Source organism: Homo sapiens, chromosome 10, assembly GCF_000001405.40.
Source record: "Homo sapiens chromosome 10, GRCh38.p14 Primary Assembly".
Taxonomy (NCBI): domain Eukaryota; kingdom Metazoa; phylum Chordata; class Mammalia; order Primates; family Hominidae; genus Homo; species Homo sapiens.
This window is the reverse complement of record NC_000010.11, coordinates 60,727,339-60,747,423: the sequence shown is the minus strand read 5'-3', so window position 1 is coordinate 60,747,423 and position 20,085 is coordinate 60,727,339. Positions and strand designations below refer to the sequence as shown.

The 20,085-nt window shown below is 40.3% G+C and overlaps 1 protein-coding gene and 1 long non-coding RNA gene across 2 annotated transcripts in view, besides 3 other annotated features; one reads left to right on the top strand and one right to left on the bottom strand.

Annotated features, from left to right (window-relative positions):
- Positions 1-5,587: 5,587 nt before the first annotated feature.
- On the bottom strand, positions 5,588-13,871 carry ANK3-DT (ANK3 divergent transcript). The gene is made up of 3 exons (NR_184155.1): positions 13,786-13,871; positions 12,996-13,081; positions 5,588-5,942 (listed from the first exon to the last, which is right to left on the bottom strand). It is a non-coding gene; the product is annotated as an ANK3 divergent transcript (long non-coding RNA).
- Positions 10,281-10,781: an enhancer, noted in NCBI's record as "H3K4me1 hESC enhancer chr10:62496401-62496901 (GRCh37/hg19 assembly coordinates)". NCBI's record gives its function as "activates a minimal SCP1, AML or CMV promoter by ChIP-STARR-seq in primed H9 embryonic stem cells {active_cell/tissue: H9 hESC(primed)}" and the evidence as "EXISTENCE:reporter gene assay evidence [ECO:0000049][PMID:30033119]".
- Positions 10,782-11,282: an enhancer, noted in NCBI's record as "H3K4me1 hESC enhancer chr10:62495900-62496400 (GRCh37/hg19 assembly coordinates)". NCBI's record gives its function as "activates a minimal SCP1, AML or CMV promoter by ChIP-STARR-seq in primed H9 embryonic stem cells {active_cell/tissue: H9 hESC(primed)}" and the evidence as "EXISTENCE:reporter gene assay evidence [ECO:0000049][PMID:30033119]".
- Positions 13,802-13,931: a silencer, noted in NCBI's record as "silent region_2389". NCBI's record gives its function as "represses an Ori minimal core promoter by ATAC-STARR-seq in GM12878 lymphoblastoid cells {active_cell/tissue: GM12878}" and the evidence as "EXISTENCE:reporter gene assay evidence [ECO:0000049][PMID:35858748]".
- ANK3 (ankyrin 3) overlaps positions 13,896-20,085 on the top strand; it is a 707,231-nt gene continuing 701,041 nt past the window's right edge. Inside the window, exon 1 of the mRNA NM_001204403.2 lies at positions 13,896-14,161. Coding sequence (NP_001191332.1) covers positions 14,105-14,161 — 57 coding nt within the window. The 5' untranslated portion in view covers positions 13,896-14,104. The remainder of the gene's footprint in view (positions 14,162-20,085) is intronic.

The window sequence follows — 20,085 nt, the reverse complement described above, 5'->3', positions numbered from 1 at the left end:
GATATCCAGATCCAAATTCCTAGAACATGTGAATGTTACCTTCTGTGGTGTTAGAACTTTGCAGATATGATTATCTCTTAAAAGAGTATTCTTAAAAAGATTTTGAGATGGTGGAGATTATCCCGTCTTATTTAGATAGGCTCCAAATGTAATCACAGGTATTACTCTAAGAGGGAGGCAAAGATTTGACTACAGAAGAGAAGGCCGTGTGATGACAGAAGTTGGGGAGAAAGTGTGATATGATGTGAGGCCACGAGCCAAGGAGTGAGAACAACCTCCAGATGCTGAAAAGTCTGGGAACTGATTCTCCCCTAGAGCCTCCAAAAGAAACCTGCCCTGCTGACACCCTGATGTTAGTCCTTTAAACTCATTTCAAACTTCTGACCTCCAGAACAGAAAGATAATATATCTGTGCTTTTTTAAAAGCCATCGAGTTTATGATAGTTTGTTACAGCAGCCATAAAAGATGGATACATCAAGCTTAGAACAGCATGACACTCTCCTGATCCCCAAAGTGGAAGTTTTCAATGGGGATGGCTATAGCTGGTAAATCAGAGGGATGACCAATGAATCACATTGCCTGCCCTTCAACATTAGAGCTGCCTTTCTTTAGATCTTAGAGAGTTCCATTATCTATTCAAATTGCAATATCTCTGACAGGCACTCTGTCTTAGTAGATAATGGGTTCAGCCCAAGGCTTGGCATATTGTGGATGCTTCGTAGAAGTTATTGTGGGCTTACTGTCAGCTGTGCACAAGGCACCAGGAGAACAGGGGCTGGAGGTGAGGGAAAACGGGAGCAGGTAGAGGACCTGTCCAAGCCTACCTCCTCTGTTCCCTGAATTCCTGCCAGGTTCGTTCTAAGACCACATACACTTTACCTTATCAAGGCCCTGGGAGGACATTTTTGTTGCTATTGCAATGGGTCAGGATCATTCATTTCTGACTCTACTATCTGTCCTGTTGGCCACAAGGACCCACCAGCACCTCCAAACAAAGCCTGTGTCTATAACCTTCCTGGATGTTCTTTGGTCTAATTATCCCTGGCAGCTGATAATCATTTCCTCCAGGATCTCACCAGGAATCAATGGTGATAATAATAACCATGAGAGCAATCATATCTGTTTAGTGAAGGTCTACTATGTGGTGAGCGCTTTACACAAAGTCTACCAAATCACTATAGCAACAATTCACAGTAGGTATTATTATAATATCTTCTCATACATAGGTTAATAGAGGCTTAGAGAAATGAACTATTTTATACCAAATCCTACAAGTGATCAATGATGGAACACACATTCAAACCAAGGTCGGCCTGATCTCACAAACTCTTTCCATTTTGCTACATTGTTTCTGATCAAAAGAAAATGTACCCCCAAGTACTTAGCACAGTGTTTGGCATATAGTAAAGTCTTAGTGTTGGCTTTTATTGATATCATTGTATGTTTATGTCTATGACTATGGCTGCCCATCAGAGTGTACGTGGAGCAATGCCACAGGCATGGTGGCCTAGGGCCCAGCAGATGGAGAGGCCCCTTTGGCCTTTCCACACCCCATGTCCCTGAAGAGCTTCAAAGCCATGCATATGCTCTTCTGCTTCTTTATCCTCCTCCCTTGACATACCTGATCATTTCCAGAAATGAGAAAATAAAGGGGCTGTAGCCGAAAGAATAATGAGTGGAGAAAATGCATGCATAGAGGGTCCGGCCCTCTTAGATTGAGCCTCTCTTCACCTGGCATCCTCTCAAGGCGATCTTCTCCCTCTCGCCCTTTAAAGGCCCCTATGCACATCTCTCTGCATGCACTGACATCGTCCCAGAAACCTCTATGCCTTCACCTTCTACCACACACATACTGGTGTCTGAGAGGCAGAGGAGCTGACAGGCAGTAGGATTTGGGGAGGAAGAAGGAGGATCCTCTCCTGAAAACAAATGTCTCTGGTTATTTTCTCACATCCCTGAGAGAGTTGAACAGGTGAGGCAAGCATGTGATACACATGATCCCTTCACCCCATCTCTGACCTGTGACAGGCATCACCAATGGATGGTGGCACTCTCCGTTGAACTCAGACCAATGAATTGGAGGTAACACAGTAGAGGAAACTCATTTGGCATGCCTAGAATATGACATGCATTTGGAGATGAGGTACTCTGTAATCTCTTCCTAAGTTGTGAATCCACTTAGTAATTTCTGAATTCTACCTTTTCATTAAAGCCCAGGCCCCATCTTATGCATTTTGAGAAGCCACCCCTTATAATACTGTTGCCTTCTCTATATTTCTCTTCTTTGATACTGATATATTCAAGGGAGAATTCAGAGTTTGAGAGGGCTGAAACTTGACAACAGTTTTATAATATTTTCTATAGAGAAAATGAAAAGATAATTCAATTTTTCCTCTGAGTTGATCCAAATTTGTTTAGAAAAAATTATTTTGGCTTCAGACTTATTATTGACTATGCCATATAAAGTTTCAAGGTGTTCTCTAATTTGGGAAACCACTATCAATTTTATTTCATACATGAGCTCTAAGATTTTAGAGCATCTCAAGTTTGCTGTGCAGTGTGTAATCAGAAACAGTTTTATGGTGAATGACACTCATTGACCAGTATGTCCTAATGTCCTCAAGTTTTATTTCTAAGTGGGATGCATCTAAATATCTAAAACCATTGTGGGCAACTCATCATGCTCTTGCAAAGGGCACCAAGCACATATTGTGGAGCACCGAATTAGGCATGTTCCTTCCCAAGCACTATGGGTGCAATCATCTCAGTGTGGGCAAAGCGATATTCCTTCTGAAGCAAGAGCCAGGCCTTCTATTCAGCTATGTGTCTACTATCAGCTCTTCAAGGACGCTCAGAGAGTAAATCCAATTCCTTTACAACAGATAAGAAAACCAAATCTTTGAAAAATATTACTTACCAGAAAGTTGGAGGTAGAGCCTGGACTAGAATCAGGTAGACACACTCTAAGATTCATGCTCTCTCTCCCCTCTGCTTAGGAAGCTCAGCATGTCCTGGGTATTTGATAAATATTCCTAAAGCTCAGCATGTACTGGATATTTAATAAATATTCCTAAAGCTCATCATGTACTGGGTATTTGATAAATATTCCTAAGTTTCGGTCCTCTCAAAACATCTAGTAAAATGCCTAAAAGAATTCAAATACATATCATTTAACGAATGAATGAGCAACTAAGTGAATGAAGATATAGTTACAAGCATCTCCAAATATTCTGGTTGCTCTTTTTAATTTTTTTTATATTAATGGTGTTTCATATTAATAGCCATAATTTATTTAACTATATTTCAGGCTTTTTTTTTTTTTGCCTTCTGAGATTAAAGTCTTGATGAAATCATAAACCGTAGAATGTCAGTACTGGAAGATACCCTAACAATCATATAATTCAATCCTTTTTTGTATTCAGTGGATAAGGAAACTGAGATTGAAAAAGCTGAAGTTATTTATCCAGGGCCTTAGAGTAGTTCTTCTAAATATTTATCCTGGCCTTTCATCATACTGTTTAGCATTACAAGACAAGTGCTTATCATTTCCTTTTAATAGCCTCAGAATTTAGAGTCTGAATCTGCCTTGAAATCAATCACTTCAACTGTCCCCCACCCCCTTATTTTTCACTTAAGACATTGGAGTATTTATTAAATATCCTGTGTGTTCAGTGCCAAGGGGAAAGCAGAGACATGGTCCCTACCCTTGAAGAACTTATAATCATATATGTTCATAGAAACACATGGCCTTATTTATGACAGGGCATAATTATGGGGAAATTTTGTCAATTTCCCCTGAATTCTGTATAAAATAAAAGTTATTTCTCTTTTAGACCACAACTTTTTCATTTTTAAATGAGACATTTGAAGAATGACACTAAAAGCTAAATCATTTCAGCAAGACTGCCTGTCTGGAGAATCATACTCTAGCCACATCAAGATGGGGCTGTCACTTTTACAGGTATTATTCATTAAATGGAGCATATCTTCATCTTTGTTCATTGAACTGGCCAAACATAGTTTGTGTGTTTTGTTTTTGTCTGCTATGTCTGTGGGACTATAATTTAAGGGATGTGAATGGAACAACACAAACCAAATGCTTCCCCCCAGAAATGCTATGATGTGTGTCATGGGAAATGGCCTTAGCCAGTCCTGAGGCAGTAAAATGTGAAGAAGAGCATGAGAGTTTGGTTAATAAACATTAATTTAGCAGATATTTATAAATAATTCTTAAGTCCTTACTATATGCCAAGTGCTACTGGATACTCAGAGTCAATATAGTGGTGAATAAGAGAGAAAGAGATCCCTGCTTCTATAGAGCTTATATTCTAGTGAAGTAGACAGGTCAAGAACAATAGCAAATCTACATAGTAATAAACACTATGCAGAGAAAAAAAACTGTTTGATGATAAAGCATAGATTGGAGGATCAGGAAAGGCTTTTCTGGGGTCGGGGGCAGGGGGCAGGGAGTGACTTGGATGCTGTGGTTCAAATGACAAGAAGAAAGCAAATGACGAGGACTTGGGGGAAGAGCAGGGAAGATGATCTGGGCAGAAGGAACATCATGTGCAGCGGCCATAAAGGACGAGGCATGGCTCAGAAACAGAACTTAGGCTGGTGTGGCTGGGGCCTGCAGGAGAAGAACAATAGGGCAAAGATGAGGTCAGAGAGGCAGGCAGGGGCCACACAATGTCAGACTCTGTAGGCAGGGTGAGGAGTTTGGTTTCAACTTCAAAGGCAAGAGAAGCCATTGTAGGGTTTTCAGTAGGGAAGCCACATGATGTAATTTACATTTTAAGAAATCATTCTGGATGCTGCTAGAAGAGTCAATTGTAGGTAGGAGGAAGGGAAACAAGGAGGCAAATTAGGAGACAATGGAAGCACTGCATGTGAGAGACAGTGGCCACTGAAAGGAGATGGGGCTGTCATATGGACAGACAAGGCTACTTGACCCACTGGCTAGGTGAAGCTGATCAAATCAGCCTTCTAAGCACAAATTTCCTTACCTATAAAAAGGGTATAATCATGTCCTCTTGGAAATTTGTTCTGGGGACTAAGTGTGATAATCCCCAGCATATACTAAGTACATGGTGATATTTTAGAAAATGAAAGGATAGTGTGCTAGCAATCTGGATCAGTAGTCAGCAAACTATGCCCCATTCACCTGTTTGTGTGGGTCAATTTTACTGGAATACAGCCATGTTTGTTTGTTAGTTATGGCCACCTTCACATTACAATAGCAAAGTTGAATAGTTGCAACAGAAACTCTAATGGCCTGCAAAGCCTAAAATATGTACAATCTGGCCCTCAAAATAAAAAGTTTACTGATCCCTGATCTAGATTGTAATGAACAGTAGAGGGTAGAAGGAATGTAAGAGAGATGAGATGTATCTGTACAAGAAGGAGGCAGATAATTCAGAGAAACATTAGTGGTGTGTCATGCACTATATTTTGTAAGTGCTCTGCCAAAGAGAAGACCCCGGCTGTAAAGACATGATTAATAAAAGGAAGCATCTGAAATAAACTTCAAATGTCATCATCACACAAATCAACCAATAGTATGTAATATTTATATAATGCCCCATATTTCCATTATGTTCATCAATAATTTTATTAAAATACTTCATTCCAGATGCATAATTTCAGGGTAAGAGAAGGCAAGTAATGGAAAACAGATAGCAATAAATTGGAAGAACCATAAATAAAATAGAGAGTTCATCCATGCAGTCAATAAATATTAATTTAGCACAAAATTTATACTAGGTCCAGTGCTAGGTGCTGGGATATACAATGGTAGACATGACAGCCACAGTCCTTGCTTACATGGAACTTTGAGTTCAATGTTTCCTTTTGGGGAAGAACTGCCCCCAGCTCCATATGAGTATCTTTGTGTAAATGAAGAAATACACTCTCCTCCCTCCTCAAAATACTTTATCTCCATCTGTAAGAAACATTCCAAAAAAGATTAATTTTTCTAGTACCTTAATTGCCATCTGCGAACAATTTTAATATAAATGTTCAACTCTACTGTAATTATGATGTGAATGGCTCTGGGATATGACAACTTTTCGGAGTATAGAAACATGTTTAACTATACACAGAAGCATGAAAAGTATGTGCTTTGAACAGAAAGTGATGATAATATGGAAAGAAGGGACTGCCTCGGCTAAAGATTATGAAGACTGTTTCTCTAGTTTCAATTTTTACTAAGTTGGTGATCCCTAACTATGGTTTTATTAGCAACCTGCAGCTATCTGGAATAATTTCATATGGCTTTCCAAAACTTTCAATGTGAAATTTAAGCAAGCTATATACTGTACTTGAAAGAGTGTGCTAGGGGAAGCGTGTGGCAAAATAAAATGATCAGTTACAGGATGTCCAAGTAACCAAAAATGTTGGGGTCTCTCTGAGAGTGTAGCCAGAGTTGCTGCACATAGTTTTGGGGAGTTGTGTTGGTATGTTTCTATTTTTATTACATTTATTTACTTTCTGGTTTAAATAGAAAAATCCAGATTTGAAGTTCAAGACTCATATCATGTAAGTAGTATATGATTAGAATTCCTAGGTGAAGAAGTTCCATACAAGGCCATTAGAAACAGTTTTACAAAATACAAAGGCTAAAGCAGGCAATTCCGTAGGCACTAGAATCAAAGCATGCATGGAGTAGATCAAGTACCTTCCAGATTATTTTTTCCCTTTGTTCAGAAATAAGATGAAAACATGTATGAATTGAGAGAGGCTGATTCTGGTTTAGAATCAGAATGGGGGAGAATAAAGGGTGAAACGAGAAAGGACTAACAGGAGTTATGTGGGAAGAAATAAAAATGAAATTTTATTTTTTGAGACAGGGTCTGGCTGTCGCCCAGGCAGGAGTGCAGTGGCACAATCACAGTTCACTGCAGCCTCCACCTCCGGGGGTCAAGCTATACTCCTGCCTCGGCCTTGGAAATAGCTGGGACCACAGGCATGCACCATCATGCCCGACTAATTTTTAATTCTTTTTTTTTTTTTCTTTGTAGAGATGGTGTTTTGCCCAGGCTGGTCTCAAACTCTTAGGCTCAAATGATCCACCTGCCTCAGCCTCCCAAAATGCTGGGATTACAGCTGTGAGATAGAGCACCTGGCCAGATGAAAATATTTTAATTGAAAGTCTGGCCCTCTTTATTCCCCCAAATTCTGTTCTGAAGGTGTCACTTTTTTTATTCCTCTTCCCCTGCATCCTAGATGCCATGCCAATGAACAAAATAAAGTTTCTCTTTCCTTTTCTTTCCCAAACACGCGCAACTAGAACCAACACAGTTCAATTCACTGGGAATTCAGGCAAAGGTAACAAAGTTTGCTTTTTCTTATTTATAAGTGGCTAAAAGTTACCAGTTTATTTTCTGTCACTAATCAGTTAGTTTTCCTTTATGTTAACTTTTTATGTGTATTTTTAAAGATTGATATTACCATTATACATATTGCCATCACTTTAAATGTTTTTGAAATCCCAGACCAAAGTGAATAAAAAGAAGTGATGAAAAGTTCCAGTCAAAATGTGGAGATAAAGTAGAATGAATCACACTGATTATTTTGTCTTCTGTAACTCTAATATGAAGTTTCTTATCCTATTTCATAAGCTACTTTGGGACTGGATTTTTAAAATCAACAATTGGTTATCTCAAATATGTTGAGTCAGACAATGTTTGTCATTTTACAGCATATATCAGATAATCTCTATTTCCTTTCAAATGTTTTAGAAAAACTTAAAGGATTAAGAAATGGAAATAGACACTAAAATAAGTTACTTAACCATATTCTACATGGGATTGCAAAACTAACTTGATAAATAAACATTATACTCTCATTCCACTTGATTTTGATAAAAAGATTGCTAAGCCATGATATTTATTGTGTATTTAAAAATATGAGTTTCTACCCAGTTGAGACCATACTGGAGGGGAAAGGCCAAAAGCCACAGGAGAGAAAACATTTTGATTCAACTTTGCGCTTGGTGAGCTGTTTTCCTTCATTAAAGTCACAAATTAAGGGACATATTTCTACATACCATCATACTCCCCACGGCTTGTGGTAAACAAATATATATCTCTTTGAGAAATGTTTTCTATTACTACTTTTGTGAAAGAAACACACATTCATTAAACATCATCTCTTGAACTTTACACAAAATTTCTCACAGGCTAAAACTTTCTGTATTGACTCTTGTTTCCTTGTTTCTTGGAGATTTCACAGATACTACGTAAAAAACCAGCTTTTCTCTCTTGCTAATGGTCAGGTAAAAAAATTCTGCTGTTTAAACATAACTGTTAGTGTCTAATTATAGTAGAAACTACTCTGGAAGGAATAGTGTCTCTGTGTAGCTATGGGGAAATGTCATAAATTCAGAAGCTGAGTGAGGGAGAGAGAGAAAAGTTCAATCCCGTTTCTACTGATGGTTCTTGATAACAGTAGGTGGCTTAAGGACAGGGGATTAAATAATATTGAATCACATAATACGTGATTACTTTTTTGCTTCTCTTTCCCTCCTGATAATTTCAAGGAGAAAGTTTGCATCCAGTTCTGGTTTTCATGCCCCTTTAGTGCTTGCTAAGTTTTCTTTCTAACAGAGAGGGGTTGAGACAGAATACAGAATAAAACAAGAAATGTATAATAATGTTTTCATCCTGTGTGTTTAGTGTAAGTGGAAGTGATTTTTCCTAAGGTACTAAGAGAAAGTTTCTTTTAAAGATAAATGTGTTTAGAGTTTCCAGATAGCGGAACACGCGGAGGTTTCTGGAGAGTGGTCCCTCAGGGAAGGCATGGAAGCTCTACACCCCTTCCCCCATACCTTGCCCTATGCATCTCTACATTTGTATTCTTTGTAATATCCTTTATAACAAACTAGTAAATGTGAGGTACTATGTCATTCCTTATGATACCAAGTAAAGTGAGAGTCCTGTTGTCCATGGTCAGCCAGCCTGGGACTGTTGGGGAGGCTCTGATCATTTATCCACTACAAGAAACACGACTAGAGTTTGACCAAATTTGTCCAAATTGGGGGGAGTCTAACTGAAACACCAGAGGCTTATGCATCGCACCATTTGAGGGACCTAACCGTATGACCACAGTGTCATCATGAGGAACAGACCAGAATCTCCAGCTTCAAACAGTGGATGCCTAGGAAGGAAGATCTATGACTACAGACAGAAATCTGGTGGCTCTAATTGGCCAGTCATGGTCTGTGTGACCCTGACTCAGTGGCTATATTTCCTTGTACCTCAGCTTCCCTTTAATAAAATGGGATAAGGGTTAAAATATGTGCTTAGATAAAAAGTAAATTAATGTAAATAAAAACATTAAGTAACAAAGGTGGTGCAAGAATGTGACAAACTACAGGGTCTGGTGGCTCACGCCTGTAATTCCTAACCCTGTGGGAGGCCTAGGCCAAAGGGTTGCTTGAGCCCAGGAATTTGAGACCAGCTTGGGCAACATAGTGAGACCCTGTCTTTATGAAAAATCAAAAAATTAGCTGAGTGGGGTGTCTCATTGCTGGTGGTCTTAGCTACTCAGGAAGTTGAGTGAGCTATGATTGTACCACTGCACTCCAGCCTGGGTGACAAAAAAAAAAAAAAGACAAATGCTATGAAGTGACTGAGTTTGGAACCCAATGTTACAGTTCTCTAGAGATTAACTCACCTTCCACCAGACTTCATCTTAAACAAACAAACAACAAAAAAATTTCCTTTCTTTTCTTTCTCTCTCCCTTCTTCCTTTCTAACCTCTATCATTTAACAGAATGGATTCCTAGCGTGTATAATGTGCCTGACGTTGTGTTAGGCATCGCAAACTCAGAAATGCAAAGATTAGTAAATATATCATCATCTTTCTTCTTAACCTGCTCAATCTCACTGGAGAGACAGAAGTGTAAACAATTATTCTACAGTTAGAAATGTGACATGCATGCAAGGTATAGTAGCCTAAAGGAGGAACAATCGATTGGGAAGCAAGGGGAGGTGTCAGGTTTCAACCTTAGGAATCAGTTCTACGAAATACAGTCCAAGTTCATAACTACACCCTTTATTCAGCAAACTTTGAGTGAGCCAGACACTGCATTAGGTCATGGTGATTTGGACATGAAAAAGATAGTCAAAGCATCAAGAAGCACATGATTAAAATGGCACACAGGCAATGAAGGCAATGGTTATATAGGTCTATAACCCTTATCTGAAACCCCTGAAGGCAAATATGTTTGCGATTCAGAATTTTTAGAATAGTGATATGGTATACACACTATATATCACATAATACCAGTAAAAGGGCCTGGGGAAGTACTTCATAGTTAAGACATAGAACTAGTCACACTAAATGGGATAAAAACTATAAATAACCTCATATCAATTCTGTTTAGGTTTCCAGTTTTTGTAATTGTTTAGATTTCTGAATTGCAGAAAATGTTTGGGAACATATTCTTCAAAATTGTTAGAGGTATGCTGCAGGGTGTTTTGGCAGAACAAAGGGCAACAAACTACATTGTAATAGAAAAAGAGTCAGGCCTCCTCAAAGATGTATTTTCTGAGAGGAGTCTTGATGGATGAATAGGAGTTAACCAGGCAGAAAAGATGGGTGAAACAGAGAACTGGAGGATGGGGAAAAGGGCTTTCTAGGCAGAAGAAATGGCTTGTAGAAAGACAATGGCCTTGGTGTTTGTGGGGAACTGCAAGTATTTCAGAATGGCTGTGTGTGTGTGTTGCCTGAGGTAGAGGGAGAAGGGAATGGAGATGGAAATGGTGATGGAGAGTAACTGAGATCCAGTGGAAGAAGAGGACAAGGACCCATGCTGAGTTAACCCTTATTGTGAAGATAGAATGAGCTACTAAGTAGTTATTTACCATTGTATAAACATATGAACAGATTTGAAATTTTAGACAAATCATAAGATTGGACAGAGCTGATACACTACACAAAATTAGGAGGATATTGAAGTTGTCCGGGTAAGAGATGATGAGAAAATGCAAGTTGGCATGGTTTGACACATAGTAATTGCTCAATAAGTCATAGCCATTAGAGAATCAAAGGCAGGGATGTAGTGGAGATGTATAAGAAGGGACATTTAAGGGCTCAATATCTGATTGGATTGGGAGATGGGGGGCAGAGTCTCCTCCCCTGACTTCAAGGTCTTGCTTGCTTGGTGGTGCTAGGCTAGGGAGCATTGGTAGTACATGATTCTGCTGTCCTTGGGGGTAGGAAAGGAGAAATGATGTTTTCCCTTTTGGATGAGAAGAAATTGGGTTTGGGATTCAGGGAAATTGTCTTAGTTGGATTTGGGAGTCATTATGTGATAGCTAAGCCTTAATGTGAACGAGATCACAAAGAGATAGTGCATGATGTGAGAAATAAGGCAGACGGAGGTCAAAATCCTAGAAGATGTTTAAGGAGGAGATAACAGTCAGCCATACCAAATGATCTTGAAAAAATAACCTAGATATGGTCTAGAAAAGTCTTTCATGGCTGTGGCAAAGAGGAGATCAACCATAACTTGAAAAGAGAAGTTTCAGTAGCTGAGGAAGGGCAGAAGCCTGATAACTATAAATAAAGTAGTGTGCAAGTGAGAAAAAAGGGACCGCAGTGTCAACTACTATCCCTTCAAGATACTTGGCCGTGAAAAGAGAAACAGAGAGGAGGACAAACTTAGAGACAAACTTAGGCTGCATGGAAAGATTTTTGGTTTAATCTTTAAAGGTAGGAGAGATGTTGCCAGACTGTCAGTTACTTCTTCCAGTTAGCTTTTCAGTTGTGTTGCAGTATGCCTCTGGAGGAGGGGAAGTGTCTTTGATGCTCTGGAATACAAGTATTTCTCAGAAACAGACAGCCAGATCAACAGACTTGCCTGGAATAGCTCTGCAGGGAAGCACCCCTTTCTGAGCTTCTCTCCCAGGTGCTGCTCCTTGTGCTAACTTCCTGTAGAGTTTTTTTCTCCCTCTATTGTCTACCTGGCTGGCTGCTTGCCTCTTGTTTAAGATGGCTCTGTGGCTGTATCGGTGCCAGGGAGTTGGCTTGTAAAATACCTGTGTCTCTGCAGGCTTTACCAAGGTGATGCGTCTCCCAAGCCACTAGCACCTGGCCCTTGTAGTCTCTATTGTCTGCTTCACACATTCAATTTGGGCAACCAATTCCTATGAGTGCCTGAGGGAATAGAGAACTAGGCTAGGCACAGTGAGAGATAAAAGAAAACAGGACTTTTGCCCCAACGGACCTTAAAATCCAAGGCATAGGATAGCCTTGGAAATAATGATGACAGTGGTTCTTAACTTTCTGGGGACACACAAATCCTTTTGAAAAGTTGATGAAGATGATGTGCTTTCTCCCTATGAAATAGCACACAGAATTTAACATAAAATTTTAAGGGGTTTATGGACTTGCTAAATTCTGAAGTGGTTTATAAAGCTCATGTTAAGAATGCCTAAAGAGTTATTGTTACTCTATTAGTGTGTGACCTTGGCTAAATAATGTTTCTGACACTCAGTTTCCAGATTGTGCTGCCTGTCTTGCAAGGGTTTTGTGAAGACTAAATGAGACCACATGAATAAAGTGCTTAGCACAGGGTCCAACACAGAGCTAATGCCCAATAAATGTTATTTCAGTTTAATGTGTGTTACGGAGAAAATGAGCAAGGTGTTAGATGGGAGACATAGCTAACTCACTGCAGTGTTCTCTGGTAATAAAGTCATTCCAGTATTTAGTTGTTACTTGTTGGTAAAAGTATGTTTCCCATACTTTAGTCATTCCCTGCCTACCTTTTGAAATTTTGCTTATCCCAGTCCCACCTGGACAATTACCCTTTTAAAATATTTTTTAAACATATATATTTGCTAGGAAAGAACTTCTGGATCCCTACCTTAAATAGAAAACCCACTTTCACTTGCCTTAAATAGAAAATAACAGTAACAATAAACAATGGAACTAAACAATGAAAATGAAACAATGTTATAAATTCCAGTTAGATACCAGTGCTTACCTAGGGCTTTGAGCCTGGAGCCTGCTCTGTGATAAAAGGGAGTTTACTGTTTGAGAGAGAATACTTTCTCCTTGTATACAGAAGAACTGAAAGAGAATGCAAAAAGGAATCCATTTCTTACTATGTGATTCACAGTCATTTAATGCCCTGGCCCTGCTCGGTGCACCGACTAGACCTATCTTCCGTGACTCCAAGTGAGATGTCCTCCCTTTAGGAGACATGACGTGAGGGCAATTTCTCCCCTCGCCCCACACCAAGTAGAATAGTAAATTCTGTGGGGGCAGTGGCCTGATATCCACCTATCCCGCCGGCCTTGTCCAGGACAGGAGTGCAGCAAAACCCTTATCATATGAGCTCCTAGAAACAAGGACGCTCAGAGGTCCCCTGCTCCCCATTCTGTTGCTGGACCAGGCTCAGTGCCTCCCTCCCACCCCGGACAGCTCCAGAGTTTAATATTTTCATTGGGCACGTAGCTGAAGCAATCTGAGTGCTGCCAGGACCTCGGCGGGGTGGAAGGGAGGCTGGGGGCATTGCTCGGAAGCTATCTGCCTGGGAAACATTGCTTTTACATAGATCGCATGCTACAGATTAATAATAATAAAAATGCAAAAACAAAATTGCCTAAAGATGATTTTATTCCCTTAAGCCATGTTATTTTATTATTATTATTATTATGGGGATGGCTAATGAAACTCTATTCAGCAGCCCGGAGGAAAGAGGACTCGCCCTCCCTCTCTTCCTGGAGCTGCCTCTGCTGCTCCTAGTCACCCTAAGGCCGTCTTCCTCTTACCCTGGCCCCTGGGCCCTGGCCGACTGGATGTGATCGCCGGGAGCTGGGTGCAGCGCAGCCTCGGCCTCCGGCCCAGCCGCGCCTTTACCTGAGCCGGGCCCGCCCCCGGCGCACCGGCCCGCGCGGGCACCTGGCGGTCGCAGCGGACACAGCAGGAGGAGGATAGGCCGCGCTGGGCGGGCGTCGCGGGGCCGCGCTTGGTGTTCCTGAGCCGCGGCCGAACTTTTTCCCAAGAAGTCCCACGTTTGGAGGCCCGAGGAGCGGGACGGGGAGGAGAGACTGGAGTTCCTGGAAGGAGCAGCAGCAGCAGCCCCACAACATGGCCTCCTCCGCCTCCTCCTCTCCCGCGGGCACCGAGGACTCCGCTCCTGCCCAGGTGAGCGCCGCGCCGCCCCCCTACCTGCGGCTGCCTTCACCCAGGGGCATGCGGGGACCCGGGCGGGCGGGAGGCCCGGGCCGGGGGGCCCCAGGAGTCCTGCCCTCCTGGGGGTGCCAGGCGGCGCCGCGAGGCTCCGGGAGGGCGAGTGGAGGGGACCCGGTTCCTGCGGATCGTGGGAGTCCAGTTGCGCCTGGAAGTTGCGGCCCGGGACAGAGGCGAGAGCTCGAACTCGGTCCCAGTGCTGGAGCATCCCCAGGAGAGAGGGGGGCCCGAGGACTTGGGGCTTCTGCTTGGAAACATTCGTCTGGAAAAAGAAAAGCGGGCCCCGGGCTCAGGACGCCCTCACCTCGGTCTCTCGTCTTGGGGCTTCTCTGCTCTTGGCTCGCCCCTCCAACTCCGTGCCAGGCTGAACCTTTCCTAAGGACACGACTGAAGCAGGCTGCAGAGGCTGCACGTTTGGCGGGGAGGAAATCACCTGGTTCGGAAATCACCTGGCTCTGAAAGTTACCTTCAGACTCTGAAAGTTACCTTCAGAGTTAGGCGTTTTTTTGTTGTTGTTTGTTTTGTTTTGTTTTCTTTTTTGAAAGTGAGTCGATTTAACTCCATGAAAGTATAGAACATACTTCATAGATTGAGACAGAAACGTGCAGAGCAGGGTGGCTATCGTGGCAGTGCCAGGGGGTGGCTTTGGTGGATTTACCTTCTCTTCGATCTCCGATCTCCGAGAGCCTTGTAAAGGCATGCAAACAAAAACAAGAAGTAGAAATCGGTTGCCTGACGAGCAAAACCGCTGCATCAAGATAGTCTCCTTCTTCCCACCCCACACCCCTCAGCAGATTGCCACCTTTACGCCCGGAGGCGTTTAATAGCAATTTTGGTGCTGCCACGGTGTGTATAATGTGGCATAATTGGTTTAAAACACTCGCTTATGTTTGCATTTGCATAGAATGGCTAGGGAAAGGTTCCTGAGAAACAGTAGTCGTCCCGGGAAGGGGGATTGGGGAGACAAATGAGAGGGTGAGGAGGGAGACTTACCCTTACCTTTCACATACCTTTTAGGACTTTTGGTTTTTTTTTTAAATCGTGGGCTTGCATTAACTATTTTCGCAGAAGAATAAATACTACATGTTTTAAAAATGAGGCACATTTGAATCGTCTTGAAAACAACAGTTCACCTAGTTTTAAGTTATGTAGAATTGCCCTTGAAACACAAATCTTGCCCATGCCATGTTTTTCCTTTAGTTGTCGTCTCTAAAAATCCTCAGGGAATCAATGAGAAGTCTTCAAAAGAAGACTCTGAAGTTTCAACCAAGTCAATTGGTGGTTTTGATTGCTACCTAGATTCTGATTTTGATTTTGCTTGCTTGAGAGTGTGGGTTGTCTAATTTTGGAAGAGGTCACTTTCTCTTATTCGTAAAAGCATAGAAGAGTCATCCTGGGGTTACATGGGACTTCATTCCAGGAGGGTAGGTCAGGGCAGGTAGGCTTTATAGGGAGGCAGTCTCAGATTGGACACAGATTGCTGCTTTAGCAGTTCAGGCAGCCTTGTCATCTGCTGACCTGGGCTCAAACCGGTGCGTGTTTAAGGAAGCAAATTTCTGTAATGAAAGTGAATGTAAAGTTAAAACCACAGTTCTGAAACAAAAATTGACTGAAGCAAAACAATCCTTTGAATATCTCCAAATCAGCTACTAATATCTGGAGGGCCAACTTCTCTTAGTTCTCAAATCAGTGGAGGATAAATAAGTGAGCTTTGAATTTGGACTGTAGTTAGATTGTTATTTATGATGGTTCTCAGTGTTCTTTTTGTTAAGACATAAATAAATATGTTTCATAATCTCACAGTGATGTGTTACACTCCATAGCAGATATTGTAGCTCAAGATCCTTCAGACAATGTAAAGGCCAATGGTGTGTTTTGGAATCCAAGGAAACAGTGTGGATTCTGAATCTGTTTGCATTTTTGTGGTGGTGTTTATATTAGTGTATGTATATCTGTGGTTTTCTTTTTTTCAGTACTTAATTTTTTTTTCTTTTTACAGTGTTCATGAGTTTAAAGAAATAAGTGTGCCTAACTCTAGAATAATATGTTGATAACTGAGAAGAATATAATTGTTATGGACTCTCAGCAGTTTTCCCCAGGTTAATCTCCAATTAATTACTTCTTTATTTAAAGTTATTCATTTTTATGCACAAAATGTCTGTATATTTTTGTCGGATGTGTTATTGTAATTATAGGGAATCTGTATAATCCAAATTGGAGATTATATAAAATTCTAGCCTAGGTAAATGGCATTTTTACCTTTTTGAATGAAGTAAATACCTGAAACTGACAAGTCCAACTATCTGACACTTTTACACAAGATTGATTCTGAGTTAGAACACATAATGAATTTTAATTGGAATGTTTAGCCTTGATACAGCTTCCCCAAACTCACATTATTAAAGTTTATACTTCTAGAAAGATCAAGGTTACTAAAGATCTAATCAGATCTGAAGTAACTTTTCCCTGTATGTATTGACTGGGCTGTTGTTCACATAACTATATCCTTGGATCTTGCAAATGTGAATGCCAGTCAGATGCTGGGTTAATGTTAAGGTACTTGGAACAATAGGGCCATTTAATTGCAATTTTTTATTTTCATCCTTTGTCGACATGTGAAAATAGCTTAAAATTTTTCATTTGCCTTCTATCCATGATACAATTTTAAAAGCTGTTTTAATATAGTCTACTTTCTCCTAGACATGTGTTTTAAGTATTAAAAGATCAGCTGTTATTAGTTATAATTTGAAAGTTCTATTAGAGCAGGCATGGTGGTTTATGCCTATAATCCCAGAACTTTGGGAGGCCGAGATGCGAGGATCACTTGAGCCCAGGAGTTCGAGACCAGCCCTGGTAATATAGCGAGACCCTGTGTCTACAGAAAATGAAAAAATTAGTAGGGCATGGGGGCAAGTGCCTGTAGTCCCAGCTATTCTGGAGGCTGAGGTGGGAGGATCACTTGGGCCTGGGAGGTTGAGGCCACAGTAAGTGATACTCATGCCACTGCACTCCAGCCTGGGTGACAGGGTGGAGTGCAGTGGAGTGAGACCCTGTCTCAAAAACAAAAATCTTTTAGCATTAAGTACAGTATTTATTTGAGGACCATGCATCTTTTTTCCTGATTAGACTCTAAAAAATGTGGTAACATTTCCAAAATCTACATGCATGGTTGAAATATATCCCAGACACTTGTCTCAGCATGTTTGAAGGTGGACAAACAAAATCATCCAAAGGGTTTGTCCATTCAAAAGGACATAGATTTTTCCAGGAGTTGATCAGATTCCTGTTTGACTATGAGAGTGAGATCAGTGGTACCAAAATAGAAGTAATTTGTTGAAGTTTTATGGAAATTACTCCTGAATTTTCTCTCTTAGGAAGGTCTTATATGGATTAATTACCAAGTGTCATGTGGTGTGATGGACAAGAAGAAAGCAATCAGATGAAAGTTATGTGTTTTCAGTTCTGAGTAGATGGTAGTATTTTTCCTAGAACAAACTGCTTCTAGTATTTGATGTATATTAATAACCTGAGGCTAAATGATCTAGTGTTTGGAGTTAGAGCTTTAAAATATGAAATAAATTATTGTGGTGTTTTTTGATCAGATGATGCTTTGGCGCTGTCATTTTCAGATGATGTTAAGAGAAGGGAAGTAATGAAAAATTGGCCCTAACATATATTTTGGACCTGGCTTGATAGGGGAAGTTAATTTGAATGCCAGAACTGAAGTTAATTTGAATGCCATTGTTGAATTAAGAACTATGTGTTGCTAAACTGGAAAGGCTATTTTCCTATGTGTTTTGAAGATAACTATGGTGATTTATTGGTAGCTATTATGTCATCTAGCTTCATTTCTGGGCTGTGCTACTTCTCTGGGGGATGTCAAGGCTTCATGCTGAGGATATGCTCTACAAGTGTAGGGCTTCTCTTTCCCCACTTTTTTCATGTCATGATGCTTTATAGGGAATCTGGCAAAAAGCAGCTATGTGACTGCAGTGTTGCTCATTAGCATCAAACATAGGGCTTGATACACATTAACTCCAATTAATGTTTGTTAAGTTAAGAATCTAAAAATGATAAGGACCTGACATTCAGATTTAGTAACAGCTTCCATTATTTAAACAACACGTACTTTTGAGCTCCTATCTTGTAAAAGGCACTCTTAGGTACACAGTGAAAGCATGGGGTTTACTGTTAAGTAAAAAGAAGTATATAATCCAAGATAGAGAAGACATATGCATCTTGAAAATACAACTGCATTGTCTAGTAATAATAACAACCATGATTTATTATGCCTCTCACAGTAGATACTATGTACTTCACAATAAACTAGAGGGTAAGTATTGTTACCCACCACCCCTGGCATTTTATACATGATGAAATTGACCTTCAGGAAGACTATACAAGCTGTAATTTGGTAACCTGAAATTGGATTGGAACCTTTGTCTGGTAACTGATGGAGAGACCAATGGTAGTAAAACCAAGAGTCAAGGAATGAAGTCCCCGTTCTCCAACTAACTAGTTCTGTAACCTCAGAAATGTATCACTTCCTGAGCTTCCATTTCTTCACTAGACGAAGGAGAGGGTTGGAAAAAAGTATTTCTAAGGTTTATTCCAACTATAACAGTCTACGATTTAAAAAAATTTAAATGCTGAAAGAGTTATAGACAATTAGTAATAAGTGATACATTTCCTTGTTTCTAGGAAACACTTTTTCCCTCACATTGGAATTCCTAATGTTAGAATAATTTTCCAAATGTTGGGAACTTTTACATTTATTGTTTTTAAAAAAATGATTTCGTTTTCTCAGAAAATCTTATTTTAAAGCAATTGTGCTCCCTACGATTGATGGCATCTTAGACAACAAACATTTGTTAGTTCCAACAGGAAGTGGTAAGATGACATGTCAGTGAGTTTCGGCTGGTAATTGAACACTCACCAAAAAACAAGGACTTGGGTGTAGAAGAACGGAAACATTTCCCGTAGTAGGTGGAGAACAATTGAGAATAACTGCTTGGCCTCTGTGGGTCCTTGAGGTTTTCTTTCTTTTTTTAAAAAGTTGAGATATTATCAGTGGTAGGCTGGTAAAATGTCCCTAAAAGAAAAAAAGCCCTGATTTGTAGCATTTGCTGATTCCTACCTTTACTATGGCTGATTTCAAGTTACCAAGAGGCGATGAACATGGAGTTGGAAAGAGAAGCACAGAATTGGTAAGCACACCACTTACGTACAGTGAGATGCACAGATTTCATTTTTAGTTGGATGAACGGTTTATTTTTTTTCAAACTTATGTGACACCAGGTATCAGGCACACATGGGGAAGCACAGATAAATAACTAGTTCTTACTTTTCAAAATGTCATAGTTTAGCAGACTGTTTCAATGAACTTTTAAGTAGGGAAAGGGCTCTTACACTGAGAATAGTTGATTAGGTCTCTCTTTTTCCACTGAGAACAAAATAAATGCCAAGTAGATCCTTAAATACCTAGATTAGATATGAGAGAACTGAGGTCTGTAACTGGCTTATTTGATGTTAGGATGATGGATTATGATTTTTAAGACCCTGTTTCTAAGGATGTCAAGTTAAGCATAATAGATTCTTGTTTTGCTTGTGTATGTGTTGGTATGTGTACATGTCTAATTATCACCTTTATTGAGGTATAATTCACATACAATAAAACTCACTACATTTAAGTGTACAATTTGTTGAATTTTGACAGTTATCAAACCCTATCACAATAGAATATTTTTGCCAAACTGAGAAGTTTACTTGAGTTCTTTTCCAGTTAAACTCCCAACCCTCCAGGAGACTGCCAGTCTGATCTCTTTCACTATAGATGAGTTTTGCCTATGTATACATTTTTGTGTCTAGCTTCTTTCTCT